The sequence below is a fragment of the Homo sapiens genome, chromosome 1 (genome assembly GCF_000001405.40).
Source record: "Homo sapiens chromosome 1, GRCh38.p14 Primary Assembly".
Taxonomy (NCBI): Eukaryota; Metazoa; Chordata; class Mammalia; order Primates; family Hominidae; genus Homo; species Homo sapiens.
Window position 1 is genome coordinate 161646901 of NC_000001.11, and position 15156 is coordinate 161662056.

The 15156-nt window shown below is 42.1% G+C and overlaps 1 protein-coding gene across 13 annotated transcripts in view, besides 1 other annotated feature; it reads left to right on the forward strand.

Moving 5' to 3' along the window:
- Positions 343-15156, forward strand: part of FCGR2B (Fc gamma receptor IIb) — a 31412-nt gene continuing 16598 nt past the window's right edge. For all 13 annotated transcript variants that reach the window (NR_169827.1, NM_004001.5, NM_001386003.1 and 10 more), the window contains exon 1: positions 343-361. The gene's annotated coding sequence lies outside the window, so the exon portion shown is untranslated. The remainder of the gene's footprint in view (positions 362-15156) is intronic.
- Positions 535-594: a silencer, noted in NCBI's record as "silent region_1483". NCBI's record gives its function as "represses an Ori minimal core promoter by ATAC-STARR-seq in GM12878 lymphoblastoid cells {active_cell/tissue: GM12878}" and the evidence as "EXISTENCE:reporter gene assay evidence [ECO:0000049][PMID:35858748]".

Consider the following 15156-nt stretch of genomic DNA (forward strand, 5'->3'; position numbering starts at 1 on the left):
ACTAAGGAGGATGGCTTCAACCTTCCCCAGGACCATTTTCCAGCATCCTTCAGCATGTTTGGCTTAGGACCAAGTTCCCACCCTCCTGAATTTTACCCTTGCTGGAGACACATGCACTTGATACAGTTAAAGGGCAAAACAGGCCTGATGGGGAGGTTCCAACGCATTTGCGTTGCAGACCGTAGGTGTTAGAATCTAACTCCTAGTTTTCTACTACAACTTCAAATGCCACCCTCCTCACTAAGGGTCTAAAGCCAGAGTGCGGATGAATGAATCAAGCCTTTCTTTCTGAGTACCACTGTCTGAAGTCATGCTGAGGTCAAGAGACATTCAATCAGAAGAGCAGACCAAGTGGCTTAAGGTAAGTGCAGCCCCGGGTTCTCTTTGCTCTGGACTCTTTTTTTTTTTTTTTTTTTTGAGATTGAGTCTCGCTCTTGTCACCCAGGCTGGAGTGCAGTAGTGTGATTTCGGCTCACTGCAACCCCCGCCTGCCGGGTTCAAGCAATTCTCCTGCCTCAGCCTCCTGAGTAGCTGGGACTACAGGCACCCACCAGCATGCCCGTCTAATTTTTGTACTTTTAGTAGGGACAGGGTTTTGCCATGTTGGCCAGGCTGGTCTTGAACTCCTGACCTCAGGTGATTCCCCCCACCGCCTCGGCCTCCTAAAGTGCTAGCATTAGAGGTGTGAGCCACTGTGCCCGGCCTGCTCTGGACTCTTAATTTCACTCCCCTAGACCATTAGTTGGCTGTTTCTTGCATTAAACCACTCAGATCTCTCTTTCATTTCCTTGTAAACTGGATTCCTTCGTCCTGCAGAAGAGATGTATATTGTCCACTTTTGTTTCAACAGAGGGCAGTAGAGAACAGCAAACAGTTTACATTTCTAAGCCCAGAAGAAATAAAACAAATCCATTTACAACATTCTCCTCAGGTCAAGGTACCCAAAATATGGCACACTGTGCTTCGTGTGTTCATAAATGGGGCATGTCCTTGTGAAAGTAGGGCAGATCCCGGAGAGTCAGCGACTCGTAGACGACCCTTCGTCTTGTGAACAACAGTTTAGCTATGTGTAACTCATGGAAGGCTTTATGGAGAAGGAGTTTGATCTTGAAGGATAAGTATGAGTTGGGAAGATAGCTTTGTTCACAGAAAGCAGCATGGGCTCAAACATGGCAATAGCATGGCAAGCTTGGGGAAGTTAAGAATAGGATTGGGCAGAATCTGACAAGACCGCAATATACCTCAAGACTCTAGGTGCTGGAATCTTCAGTATGGCACATAGCATCCTGTGCCGTGGGGCAGCTGTGATATTACATACACTCTCAGATGCTATGTGCCATCCCGAAGTGTTTGAATGTCACTTTGAAGGGTTTAATATCATCCTGAAAGCAATGTAAAATCATTGAAGAATTTTGAGTAGGGTGGTGATCTAACCTATTAGGCAATTTGAGATTTTCTTGTTTGTTTTTAATTGAGGTATATCATGGTCTTGTTAATCTTTTAAACTTTAGCCACCCAGGTGGGTATACAGTGATATTGTGTTTTTAATGTGCGTTTCCCTGATAAGTAGTGACTTATTATCTTTTTATGTGCTTATTTGGTCATTTGGATATCCTTTTTTATGATGTTTCTGTTTAAGGCTTTTGCACACTTACGAATTAGCTTATCTTCTCATTGATTTTTAATAGTTTTTTATGTATTTTAGATATGTCTTTTGTCAAATATACCTATTACAAATATTCCTCCTACTCTGTGGCTTTCCTACTAACTTTTCAAATGATGTCTTAATTTTTTCTTTCTTTTTTTTGAGGCAGAGTTTTGCTCTGTCGCCCAGGCTGGAGTACAGTGGCGCAAGCTTGGCTCATTGTAACCTCTATGTTCCAGGTTCAAGTGATTCTCATGCCTCAGCCTCCAGAGTAGATGGGACTACAGGCACACACCAGCATGCCTGACTAATTTTTTAATTTTTATTTAATAGAGATGGAATTTCATCATGTTTGTCAGGCTGGAACTTTTTTTAATATTATATTTCAATAATGATTATACCAAAAATATATTTTGTATTATTTGAGAAAATCTGTAATGTATATTTGGGAGATTAATGAATACAGTTATGAAGGTCACTGAAGCATGACTCTTCTAAAACAAGTTAATAATGCATTCTACAGAAAACCTTTTAGACATTACAACCTCTAACCTAAAAAATGGAACTCTAAATACCTTTTCACCATCTCAGTAGTAATTTCTGACACATCACTTTCAGAAGGCTCATAAGCCAACTCAGATACAACCGTAATATTAATGAGGAAAGCAGTTAGTGTCAAAGGAAGAGGATTGAAAGTAGAAGTGTTATGAAACTCCTCTTTTACTTTTTTGCATGCTATCAAAATCACTGCCAATAATATGAATGTCAGGTCAATTTCCATAGGTAAATCCGTTACCTTTTACCTCTTTAAAAGAAAAGTTTTGCAGAAGAGGGCTGAAAATTTCTTGAGCCATTTCAGCACAAAGAATGGAAGTTCATTTCTCACCATGATACAACTCTACCCTGCTGTCATCTTCATTGTGATGGTGGCAGAAGTTTAGCAGGGTGCAAGTGACCACTAAATGACATCTTTTCATGAACAATTGATAAATCTTTTTGAAAACCCTATGAAAGATGAATTGGAACGGAGCAAGACTGAGGCAGGATGACTAGTTAAAGGCTTGTTTCAGCCCTTCTGCCATTAAAGGACACGGAAGCTACCATCTAAGAAGCAGAGAGCGACCTCTCACCAAAGAGTCTGCTGGCACCTTGATCTTGCACTTCGCAGCTTCTAGAGCTATAAGAAATAAACTTGTGTTGTTTATAACTAGGAGGCCGTTGTACTATTATTATTCCTATTTTATGGTTGAGAAAACCAAGGCATGGGGAAATTAAATGACTTGCCTGAAGGTTTTCTACTGCTAGTAATTGGCAAGAGGAAAAGAAACGTGCAAGAACTTTATTGATTGGATGGGAATGGTAGATACATTAATTTGAAGGATTTTGTCTTAGTAGATCTTAGAGAAAGAAGAGTACATTTGGGAGAAATAAGTGAATTTTGTTTTAGAAAAAAAAATATGCGTATGTGTGTTTTATTTTTTAGACAGAGTCTCACTCTGTTGCCCAAGCTGGAGTGCAGTGGCATGATCTCTGTTCACTGCACCCTCCATCTCTCAGGTTCAAGTGATTCTCCTGCTTCAGCCTCCTGAGTTGCTGGGACTACACGCCACCATGCCTGGCTAATTTTTGTATTTTTAGTAGAGATGGGGTTTTGCCAAGTTGGCCAGGCTGGTCTCAAACTCCTGACATCCTTGGCCTCCCATAGTTCTGGGATTACAGGCATGAGCCACTGTGCCCTGCCAAAAAAAAGTTTTGAAGTGGAAATGCCTAGTAGGTAGCTATCATTATATTATATATATTATATATGATAAATATATTAATGTATCTTTCTAGAGTTAAGTAGAAAAGTGTTGGCCGGAGATAAAGACTGAGGAGTCATCAGCATATAGGGAGTGAAGCAAGGCTCTCATTCTCAGCATTATTGACACAGGGGGCCAGATAATTCTTTGTTGTGGGGGGCTATGCTCTCCACTGGAGGACATTTAGCAGCTTTCTTGGCCTCCACTCAATAGATGCCAGGGGAAGCCCTCTCCAGTTGTAATAGCCAAAAGTGTCTCCAAACATTGGCAAATGTCCCCTGGGAGCGGGGGGCAAAACCAACTCTGTTGAGAACCACTGGTGTAGAGGAAGCCAAGAATGTAGATAAAATCATTTAGAAGTAGTAAGACATATGCAGGATCACGTTTCTTAGCCCTTTAAAGTTCATTTTCAACCTCTTTGAACATAAACATACTTTGTTTAATTTTATCTTAATTTTCATATCTAGTTTGTCAAGTTTACAAGTATTAAATTGTATTATAATGCTAAAAAGGCTTTTAAAATTACACCTCTACCTCTCCTTCCCCCTCCAGTTCTGATGCACCCTTTGAGGGGGTCTCTTCTCACTTAGAAAATTATTGATAGAGAATTATGTAGAGGACAGAAAGCTGAACAAACACCAATATTTAATGGACAGGTGAAGACAGAGGAGTGTTCAGGGAGAGTAAGGGGAGTCATCAGAGGGACACCAGGAGGGGAACCCTGGTAAGTCGTGATGAAACAGATGGTGAATGACTTCAGAGTATTTTGGCCCTGCAAACTGCAAGGGTACATCGTAAAAGACTGCATAGTGCCCCTGGGGTTCATAAATCACTTCTTAGAGAAGTGAGAGAATTCTGAGTTCTCCCTGGGCTTAGAGTAAAAAAGGCATTTCCAGTGATAGGGCCCAATGCAACATTTAGGACAACTCGGGGAAGAAAACTTTGAGATTCAGAAAGAAAAATGACTTCTTCTGCCAAGGGAGAGATAAGGAAAACTGCAGATGAGGAGATGGCCTGAGGTTTTGGTCTTGAAGGGAAGATCAGAAAACAAGGTCTGGGTTCCCGTTTATTTTGGAAGCAAAGTATTATCGTGCATTAGAAACTAGGCTCTGTACTCTTCTTTTGCTTATCTTCATATCTTAGAAAACTTTTCTTTTAAAATCTTCCAGCCAGTTTAGTTGGCCAAGAGAAAGATTTAGATATTTTGACATTTCCGCCAATATAACTTCTGATTATCTCCTTTGTGGCTGGCTAGAGTGGTGGCACTGGCATCCTAGCTCTCCAATCAAAATTTTTAAAATAAAGATCTGGCCGGGCGCAGTGGCTCACACCTGTAATCCTGGCACTTTGGGAGGCCGAGGGGGGTGGATCACCTGAGGTCGGGAGTTGAGACCAGTCTGACAACATGGAGAAACCCCATCTCTACTAAAAACACAAAATTAGCCAGTCGTGATGGCGCATGCCTGTAATCCCAGCTAATTGGGAGGGTGAGGCAGGAGAATTGCTTGAACCCAGGAGGCAGAGGTTGTGGTGAGCTGAGATTGTGCCATTGCACTCCAGCCTGGGCAACAAGAGCGAAACTCCATCTCAAAAACTGAAATAAAATAAAATAAAATAAAATAAAATAAAATAAAGATCTATGGGCATTTTAATAATGCTCTATCTGTGATTTTCAGCAGTTTAAATATGATATGTTTAGGAGTGTGTGTGTGTGTGTGTGTGTGTGTGTGTGTGTGTGTGTGTGTATTTTAGTCTGCCTATGCTTCTTTGTCCTTCTTGGATCTGTGGTTTAATAACTTCCATTATTTTTGAAAAATTGTTGGCCATTTTCTCTTTAAATGTTTCTTCTCTCCCATTCTTTCTCTATTCTCTGGGATTTCAATTACATATATGTTAGGCCAGTTTACATTGTCCCACAGTTCTTGGGTGTTCTGTTCTATTTTCTTTTTTTTTACTCCTTGAATTTAAGTTTGGGTAATTTCTATGAACCCATTTTCAAAGTACTGATTTTTTTTTTTCTCAGCTGTATGGCATCTACTGATGACCCTGTCAAATACATTCCTCTTCTCTTTTACTCTGTTTCAAAATTTGCTAACATTTCCATTTGACTCTTCATATAGTTTCTATCTTTCTGCTGAAATTCCCCATCTGTTTATGTATGTTGTCTACCTTTTCCACTAGAGCCTTTAACATGTTAAGTATGGTTGTAATTAATGGTTTGATTTTAAAATTCCCTATTTGATAGTACCAACATCTGAATCATCTTTTAGCAGTTTCTATTGCTTGCATTGTCTGTTGACAGGATTTTTAAACCTTGCTTTTCTGTGTTGGCTCATTGTTTTTATTGAATTCTGGACATTATATGTAGGACAGTAGGGACTGAGGTAAATTGCATTTATGATTGGAAATGAGCACCCCTCTTATTCTGGTAAGCTCTTAGTGTGGGCCAATCTAGTCAAGAGTTGAGCTGGGTTCGGGTTTTATTATTGCCATAGTTACCTTCAAATTCTTCTAGTGTTATCTTGTGCTTGGGTGGAGGCAGCATTTCAGTAGACCAAGAGACACCGGTATTCCCGGATGGTATTTTCTCAATTTTCCTGCACTACCCCAACTTTAGGACTTTCTAAAGTATGTGCCTGCACCTCAGAGATTCTCTCTTCAGTGGCAGAGTACTTTTGCTTCTTATTCAGTACTTGCTAGGCTGGGAGGTAGGGCAGAGGTTTATCTGTTGTGAAATTGCCTTTGCAGAATATATATATAAATAAGGAGAGAAATCTGGCTGGGCGTGGTGGCTCATGTTTGTAATCCCAGCACTTTGGGAAGCTGAGGCAGGTGGATCACCTGAGGTCAGAAGTTCGAGACCAGCCTGGCCAAGATGGTGAAATCCAGTGTCTACTAAAAATACAAAATTAGCTGGGCATGGTGGCAGGCACCTGTAATCCCAGTTACTTGGGAGGCTGAGGCAGGTGGAGAATTGCTTGAACCAGGGAGGCAGAGTTTGCAGTGAGCCAAGATCCCACCACTGCACTCCAGCCTGGGTGACAGAGCAAGACTCCATCTCAATAAATAAATAAATAAATAAATAAAAATAAAAAATAAACGAATAAAGAGAGAAATCTAACATGACTGACTCCATCCTGCTTCTAACCCACAGGCGAGTTTTTTTTTTCTTATTCTAGCATGGAGGTCAAAATAGCTATGAGTGACGTTTATAGTTAAACTTTGAGTCAAGGGAAACTGATCTCCCTCCTTGTTCAAGATTGAAACTGCATTCATAAGACAAGGTTAAAATACGGTAGGGACTTTAACTTTGCTGAAGAATAGACTCAGTTAAACAATGACCTGCCATTGCTTAGTGTGTCTTCCTCACTTCCTTGCTTTCCATGTGTCCTTACAGTAGCATGTTGCTTACTGCACCAGAGTCACGTAACCGGGGATTGCAAAATTTATAACTTCCCCAACTACTCCTATAGATAACATCACTATTGTGAACCCTGAAGAACGAGTCTTCGAGGTATTTTTCAGATTCAACATTTCAGTAGACCAAGAGACGCCACTAGGTCCTGAGATCCACCCACTCCTGGGAACTGACTTGGCTGCGTGAAGACAGCTTTAGACACCCCTGTAATTTCATCCCCAGCCAATCGATTGTTCCAGTTTCCAAGCCTCCTGCCCACCAAAGTACCCATGAAAAACCTTAGTCTCTGAATTGTCAGGGAGATGTGTTTGAGAAATTGCTGCTTGCTCTCTTCACATGGCTGGCCCTGTGATTATTAAACTCTTTCTTTGCTGCAATAGCCGCTGTTCTTATTGATTTTTTCAGGGCAGTGGCTAAGAAGAACGTGTGGGGCTGTGACAGCTGTTCTAGTCCCGCCTCAGTTTTAGTCGGGCCTTCTGTCCCTGGATCTTGAGGACAGGGCTTTTTCAGTGATCCTAGATCTCACCCAATGGTAGAAGACCTGTAATCATCTAGGCTCGGGATGGTTTCCAGCCCCTTCCCCAAGGGTAGAGAGATGTTTGTTTTTTGTTGTTGTTGTTGTTGTTTTTTCCTGTTCCTTTCCTCCAGGTGTAATGGGCTCTTTTCCTGTGCCCTGGGCCCTTCTTCCAGTGATTTAAGACATTTGTTCCTTAGAAAAAAGGATTCAGGTGGGCTTCATGCCTTTCCCAGAATGATGGCTGCTCCATTACCTAGGTATGTATTCCCTGGCCACAAGCTTTTCATGAGCTCTGGTGGAGGCCCATGAAGATGCTTCAAATGCGTAGGAATGGCCCTTGTATCATGAGCTCTCAGTTCTTGGCCACATCTGGCTTTCAGCGATTTATTAAAAATTTTAGCTGAATTCTTCTAACCCATTTGAATGGTAGCCCTGCCTTCCTTCCACGCTGTCTTACAGGTGAGCCTGTGCTCATATCCTAGCCCTCTTTAGAAACACCTGTCTTTTCTTAGATTTCAGGGTATTTGGTTGCCTCACTACCTCAGCACTCTGATGGGTTCAAGAAAAGTTATCACTTTGTGTATTATCTGTTTTTTTTCAGGTGTTTCTAATTAATACAGGTTTTTTTGGGGGGTGTTTCTAATGAAAACATTTTAATGAGGCTGGTTTTCACAGCTGTTTTTATACCACAAATCAAAATGGCCAAGTCCAAAATGAAAAATCACCAGAATGGCAGGGCATAATGAATTTAAGCACAGAAATTAGATGAAGTTATCTGTTTCTCACATGACTTGATAATCTAAAAAGCAGAAAGTAAAATGGTATGTTTTAAAAGTTATCATCAAAAGTGTCCTTGAGGTCGGCACTGACTGTGTCCTGATGGCCATGCAGGCAGGAGTTGTGCTATGTAGGTAGGCTCTGCTATTTGCTCTTCACACCTCTGGTTAGTTTACAATCTCTCCTTGTTCTAAGTTTTCACCAAAGCCTGATACTGGCTTTTGTTTCCCTTGAGGCTATGTTGTTTCTCATATAAACATGATTTCCATTTTATGACTGTCCTAACCCTTCATGGTGCAAGCCTGTTTCTCTGAGCTACTATATTCTTCATATATTTATGTTATTACTTCTTACTATTCAGAAGTACCTTAATATTCAGAACTACCCTTCAAATTGGAGGGCTCTTTTCTGACCATATTCTCAGCTGTTGGACAGGGGACAGGGACCGATCATGCTGGGTGGTTGGAAAAGCCTATGGGAGGCCAAGTAGGGGAGACCTACTGCCAGGACTATCACTCCAAGCTCGATTCTTGGGCCTTCCACCTTCACATTCTAGAGGAAAGCATATTGCCACTCATCCAAGTTGTGTGCTGTGATTGCTAGTGAAATCTGATCAGCTCCGGGGGCTCTCAGCTCTTGGCTGTCAATGCAGGGTGATAGTGGGCTACAGGGGGAGGAGGTAAAGAAGAGAGATTATGCAGATATGTCTGAAATCACAATCTTTCTGATTAGATATTTTGGCTCTATAATCAATTGTTTCTTCTAACACTCACACTTTTCCTCAATTTTTATTTATTTATTTATTTATTTATTTTGAGACTGAGTCGCTTACTCTGTCACCCAGGCAGGAGTGCAATGGCGTGATCTCGGCTCACTACAACCTCCACCTCCCGGGTTCAAGCAATTCTCCTGTCTCAGCCTTCCAAATAGTTGGGATTACAGGCACGTGCCACAACCCCTGGCTAATTTTTTGTATTTTTAGTAGAGATGGGGTTTCACCATGTTGGCCAGGCTGGTCTCAAACTCCTGAGCTGAGGTGATCCACCTGCCTCGGCCTCCCAAAGTGCTGGGATTACAGGCATCAGGCGTCGTGCCCAGCCTCAATTTTTAATTCTACGACTTTCTGCTCTAATTCAGGTGAAGCACAGGATAGGTTTGTATTGTTTTTATATCTGTCTCCTGCATGTATCCTATCTTTCCCATTGTAATGAGGGTTCCTCAGGACAGAGACCACTGTTCTTCTCATTTCTTCATTTCTTCCTCCCATCCATCCCCACCCCATCTTTCTTACCTAGCAGAGTCAACATTGGGTTAGAGCACTGCATATGGGTTGAGTAAATCAGTCACTAGTTGATCCCCATGAGTTATTGCTTTCCTGCTCAGAATTTGTTGCTATTGCCACTCTCAGTATCATTTCCCTCCAGTGATTCCTGAAGACCTCATTTTACTTCTGTAATTCTGCCAGGGACCAAGTTAACTGCAGCCTGCTCTTCTGCTCCAGTCACAGTAAACTCTTCTCCTAGGGTCTCTACTGAGACTGGAGGCCACAGGAAAGAACAGATGCTGAGCAGGAACCTCCACTGTCCTCTCGTACAAAATACTTTTCCCAGTTTCTAGAACGATAAACCGCGACCCGATTGAAGGGCTTTTCCATAAGACTACTCAACCAGCAGCAATACTTACCTTCATATTTGCAACTTTACTGAAATACCTTGGTCAGAGGAGATCTCCTTTTAATTTTTATTGTGTATTTATTTAGTAGAGGCAGAGATCTCCTTTATTTACATTCCAATCACTTTTAGGATCTGTCCTGCCTTAACAATCTGCCAATAAATGCACAAAGAGAAATGGATGATGGGAACTTGATGGTGGCAAGATTTGTTTCTTTTTTCTTTTTTCTTTTTTCTTTTTTGACAGAGTCTTGCTTTGCTGCCCAGGCTGGAGTGCAGTGGCATGATCTTGGCTCACTGCAACCTCCACCTCCTGGGTTCAAGCAATTCTCCTGCCTCAGCCTCCCAAGTAGCTGCGATTACAGGTGTGTGACACCACAGCTGGCTAATTTTTACATTTTTAGTAGAGATGGGGTTTTACTATGCTGGTCAGACTGGTCTCGAACTCCTGACTTCAAGTGATCTGGCTGCCTCAGCCTCCCAAAGTGTTGGGATTACAGGCGTGAGCCACCATGCCTGGCTGACACGATTTGTTTCAAACTGGCCCTGGACCCGGCACCCTCCCTTCTGCTTCTGACTCCTCACACATCAGTCCTTCTTCTTTGGATACCTGATTAATGGACATTTCCGGTTCTCGACCCTTCTGCTTTCTCTCCAGGGGATGGCTTACATCTTCCTTCCTGGCTAGCACCTTTTTAGGGTGGCACTTACAGTAAGCTATCTCTTTGTCCTCACCCTTCTGTGTGTTGCCCCAGAGATGAGCCTGCCCAGGGGTTACCTAAGATCTCAACTCTCTTCTGTCCCTGACAGGTTGTGGCAGACTGGGCACCCTCATACTGAAAATCATCATTGAAGAGAGAGTAGAATCTGGAGCTTCATAGAGGTGGAAAGTTGTGATAACTTTCCTTGCCCATCATGAGCGTCATAGCTGACACTCCTATAACAAAAGATGAGTTAGCAAGAGAAAAGTTTGTCAAAGTTTTATTTTATTTTATCAAAATTTTACATGATGCAGGAGCCTTCTGAAATGAAGACCCAAAGACTCAGGGAAGACTCTGTTTTTATGCTTAGGTTCAATGAGGAATGCCTAGCCCTGTAGAAATGTGACTGGATAAAGGGTAGAGTCTGATGCTAACAGACTGATGGGGAAAACTTAGCAAGGCCTGTGTGTTTAGATTCTTCTTGGCCTGTGTACCATTCCTTCCTCCTGGGTGTGGGGCAGTACTCCTCTGAAACGAGGGTCTTTAATGACTTTTCTCAGTTGCTTTGCATTTGCTTCTTTGTGAAAGATCAGTTGACTCTATTCATGTGAGCCTATTTGGGGGCTCCCTATTCTGTTCCATTAATCTATTTGTCTGTTCTTTCACCAATAATTGGATACTTTTTACAAGTTCTTCCTGGTTCTAACCACCATGTTCCTAATGATGATAAGCATTGACTAATTTCCAATTTTACCCAGTGTTGCCAGCTGGGGCACAGAAACAATACCCCAATATATGGCACTTTGGCCTGCTGAGTGCTTTGAACTAAGGGAGATTGGAAGACCTCAGAAGCAAGGTCTCTCTGACATTCTCTTGCCCTTCTGTCCTTTACCCTTCCTTCTCCCCTGAAGCAAGTCATAGAAACCAAAATCCCTCTTCCCCAAAGCAAGCCATAAAACTTAGAAATGTTACTCTCTCCCTCCTCCCTGGCTGAAGTGATCCACCCACTTTGGCCTCCCAAAGTGCTGGGATTACAGGTGTGAGCCACCACTCTTGGCCGGGTATTTGCATTTCTAATGGGTTGTTAGAGATGATGATGCTTTAACACAAAGACCTGAATTCCCTGAGGAGGTGTGGCTGATGCTTAGACCTGGCTGAGGCCTCTCCAACCAGAGCCTCCATCAGTCAATCATCCTTTTTGTTTGTTTTCCTGGTGCTTGCCTTCTCTGCCAGGCTTCCCTCTCCTTTGGGGTTGGCAGCTGACTGTAGTGCCTGGCTGTCTCAGCTTGTGGGGAAGTGGCTATAAGGAGGAAACTGTAGAGAGGATTGATAAAAACAACCACAGGGATTCACTGAGCCTGTGGTCAGGATATTAAGAGGAAGAGAAACAAAATTCAACCAAGCAGAACAAAAAGAAAGGAGTACATTCTGAATCAAGAGGCTGGAATCTGAGAGTATGTAAAATTGGAACCATTTGAGTTTATAACATTAATCTGCCTTCCCAAAGTGGGTCTATAAACACTAGTCCCAACTGGAAGCAGAGACTAGATTCTTCTAGCCTTTTAATGATAATAATGATTAAGACTAAATTTATATGGCAGGTTCTGTGTTTAGCATTATTTATGGATTTTCTCATTTAATCTTCATGTTATAAGGTGAGTACTAATGTAATCTCCATTTCACAGATGAGACAACAGAGCTTACAAAGCATGAATAGGCCAGGCACGGTGGCTCACACCTGTAATCCCAGCGCTCTGGGAGGCCGAGGTGGGCAGATCACTTGAGGTCAGGAGTTCAAGGCCAGCCTGGCCAACATGGTGAAACCCCGTTTCTACTAAAAATACAAAATTAGCTGGGCGTGGTGGCACATGCCTGTAATCCCAGCTACTCGGGAGGCAGAGGCTGGAGAATCGCTTGAACCCAGGAGGTGGAGGTTGCAGTGAGCTGAGATCGTGCCACTGCACTCCATCCTGGGTGACAGAGCAAGACTCTGTCAAAAGAAAAAAAAAAGGATAAATAAGATATCCAAGACTGCACAGCTGATAAGAGACAAGATGAGGCTCTTGATCTGGGTCTGTCTCCAAGCATCTTCATTATGGGTTCTCATGATTTTTGAGTTATTCATACTTTTCCCCTTACCAGAATACACATTTTATATAAAATCGTCCCTTTCAAAGAATTCTCCTTTCTTTTCTTCCTTAGAGAAAAGTCTTGCTCTGTTGCCCAGGCTAGAGTGCAGTGACATGATCTCAGCTCACTGCGACTTCTGCCTCCCGGGTTCAAGCGATTCTCGTGCCTCAGCCTCCCAATTAGCTGGGACTAAAGGCATGCGCCACCACGCCCAGCTAATTTTTATTTTTTATAGAGACAGGGTTTCACCATGTTGGCCAGGCTGCTCTTGAACTCCTGACTTCAAGTGATCTGCCCACCTAGGCCTCCCACAGTGCTGGGATTACAGGTGTGAGCCACTGGGCCCCGCCCAAGAATTTTCCTTTCTGACTGACATATTTCAGTTTTAATAAATAGTGTGCCCCTCTATTTTAACCATTTTGTTTTAGAAATATCTCCTTGTATTTTGTGCTTTCCCTTTCCCAGCCGTGATGGGAAAAAGAGACTCATTTCTGTTTTGATTTAGTGTCCTTGGAAATGCCCTACCTGATTCTGTGTCTATCTCCTTTAATAAGTCATCTAAAAGACATTGTCTGGTTCTTTTGTCTCAGTCAAATGTCTAGTAGTGGTATTTGGATCCTGAGACAATTCAGGGAAGTAGCATGTGCACTGTGTAGGACTTCCTGATCATTTTTAAATCGTGGCACAGAGAAAACCACACAAGTAAAGTTATAAACAAATGAGGCTGCTTACAGCCAGGGGCAACTGGCCCTACCTGGCTATTCCTAGGCCTGAGAGCCACTCATTAGTTCTGTGTGCTGGTTACTCATACAAGGCATGTAGGTGGTCCCTGCATACTGTTTGTGAAGCTCATTTAGTGTTGTAGAAAACCTAAGTCTTTAGCGTCAGGCAGACTTGGTTTCATATTCTGACTCCACCACTTATTAACCATGTAGCTTTGGACAAATCATTTTAACTTCTCTGAATCTAAGTTCTTCATGTGCAAATGAGGGTGATAATACTTATCTTCTGGGATTGTTGAAAATTAGAAATAATGTGAGTCTAGTGCCTCCTCCATAGTAATAATGTGAAAGGAAAATAAAAACTCAGGATTCCAATACACTGTGCCAAAAGAAAAAACAAATTAAACTGAAAGCTGAGTCGTGCAAGATACTGACTTTCCTTTGGATCCTAAGCAGATAGCTACAGAGAAAAGATTAAAAATCTCCGTAGATGGCCAGGTGTGTTGGCTCATGCCTGTAATCCCAGCGCTTTGTGAGGCCAAGGTGGGTGGATCACTTGAGGTCAGGAGTTCAAGACCAGGCTGTCCAACATGGCAAAACCTCAGTTCTACTAAAAATACAAAAAAAAAAAAAGAAAGAAAGAAATTAGCAGGGCGTGGTGGCAGATGCTTGTAATTCCAGCTGCTTGGGAGGAGGAAGCAGGAGAATCGCTTGAACCCGGGAGGCGGAGGTTGTAGTGAACCGAGGTCACACCTCTGCACTCCCGCCTGGGCGACAGAGTGAGACTCTGGCAAGAAAGAAAGTAAAGTAAAGTAAAAAGAAAGAGAGACTCTGGCAAGTAAGAAAGAAAGAAAAAGAAAGAGAAAGAAAGAAAGGAAGAAAGAAAGAAAGAAGGAAGGAAGGAAGAAAGGAAAGAAAGAAAGAAAGAAAGAAAGAAAGAAAGAAAGAAAGAAAGAAAGAAAGAAAGAAAGAAAGAAAGAAAGGAAGGAAGCAAGAAAGGAAGAAAGAGAGAGAAAGAAAGAAAGGAAAAACTCCACAGGTTACTCGTTTCTACCTTATCTTACATGAAGTGCCAATTTACCGAGAGCAAGACAGCACATAATTGACTATTCCCCTACCTGCTACTTTTCCCTTACAACACGTGGATTACCATACTCTTCCTCTTTCCCCTCCAGCCTGCTTTTCCTCTAAATATTGAAACCCTCAAATTCATCTTTGGAGAAAGTCACAGACCACATACTGTTTCTGTGATTCTGTGTTGTTTTCTTCCAGGCATGTCCTTAACCTTGGCAAAATAAACTTCTAAATTAATTGCCACCTGTCTCAGATACCCTTGGTTTTACAGTAAGAATTCACATGCTTACATAGTAACTATTAATTTTGGTTTCTTAGTGTGTTACCTATATATTGTATGCCTTTGTTTCTAATGATATTTATAAAGTATTGATGCCAGCTCATTGTTATCACATTGCCAGTTAAAAAAAAAACTAATTTTTAACCTAAAAATTAGATAAGAGCTGGAGATGGATCTGGGGGTAGAACGGGGGCAGTAGTAAAAGCACGCGTCAGAGTGGGTGGGGCTGTCGAAGGTTTCTGAAGACCACAGAGTGTGATAACAAGGTTTTACAGTGTCATTTCCTTAAGTATTAAAGTATTACAGCCTGCTTCCTGAGAAGGCATTTGGGAAAGAGTCCCCAGAAAGGGGCCCCAGGAGAGATTCCAGAGAAACTCGTGTTTTGGAGATGTTGAGGGTGAACAAATGGTAATGAGGATGATG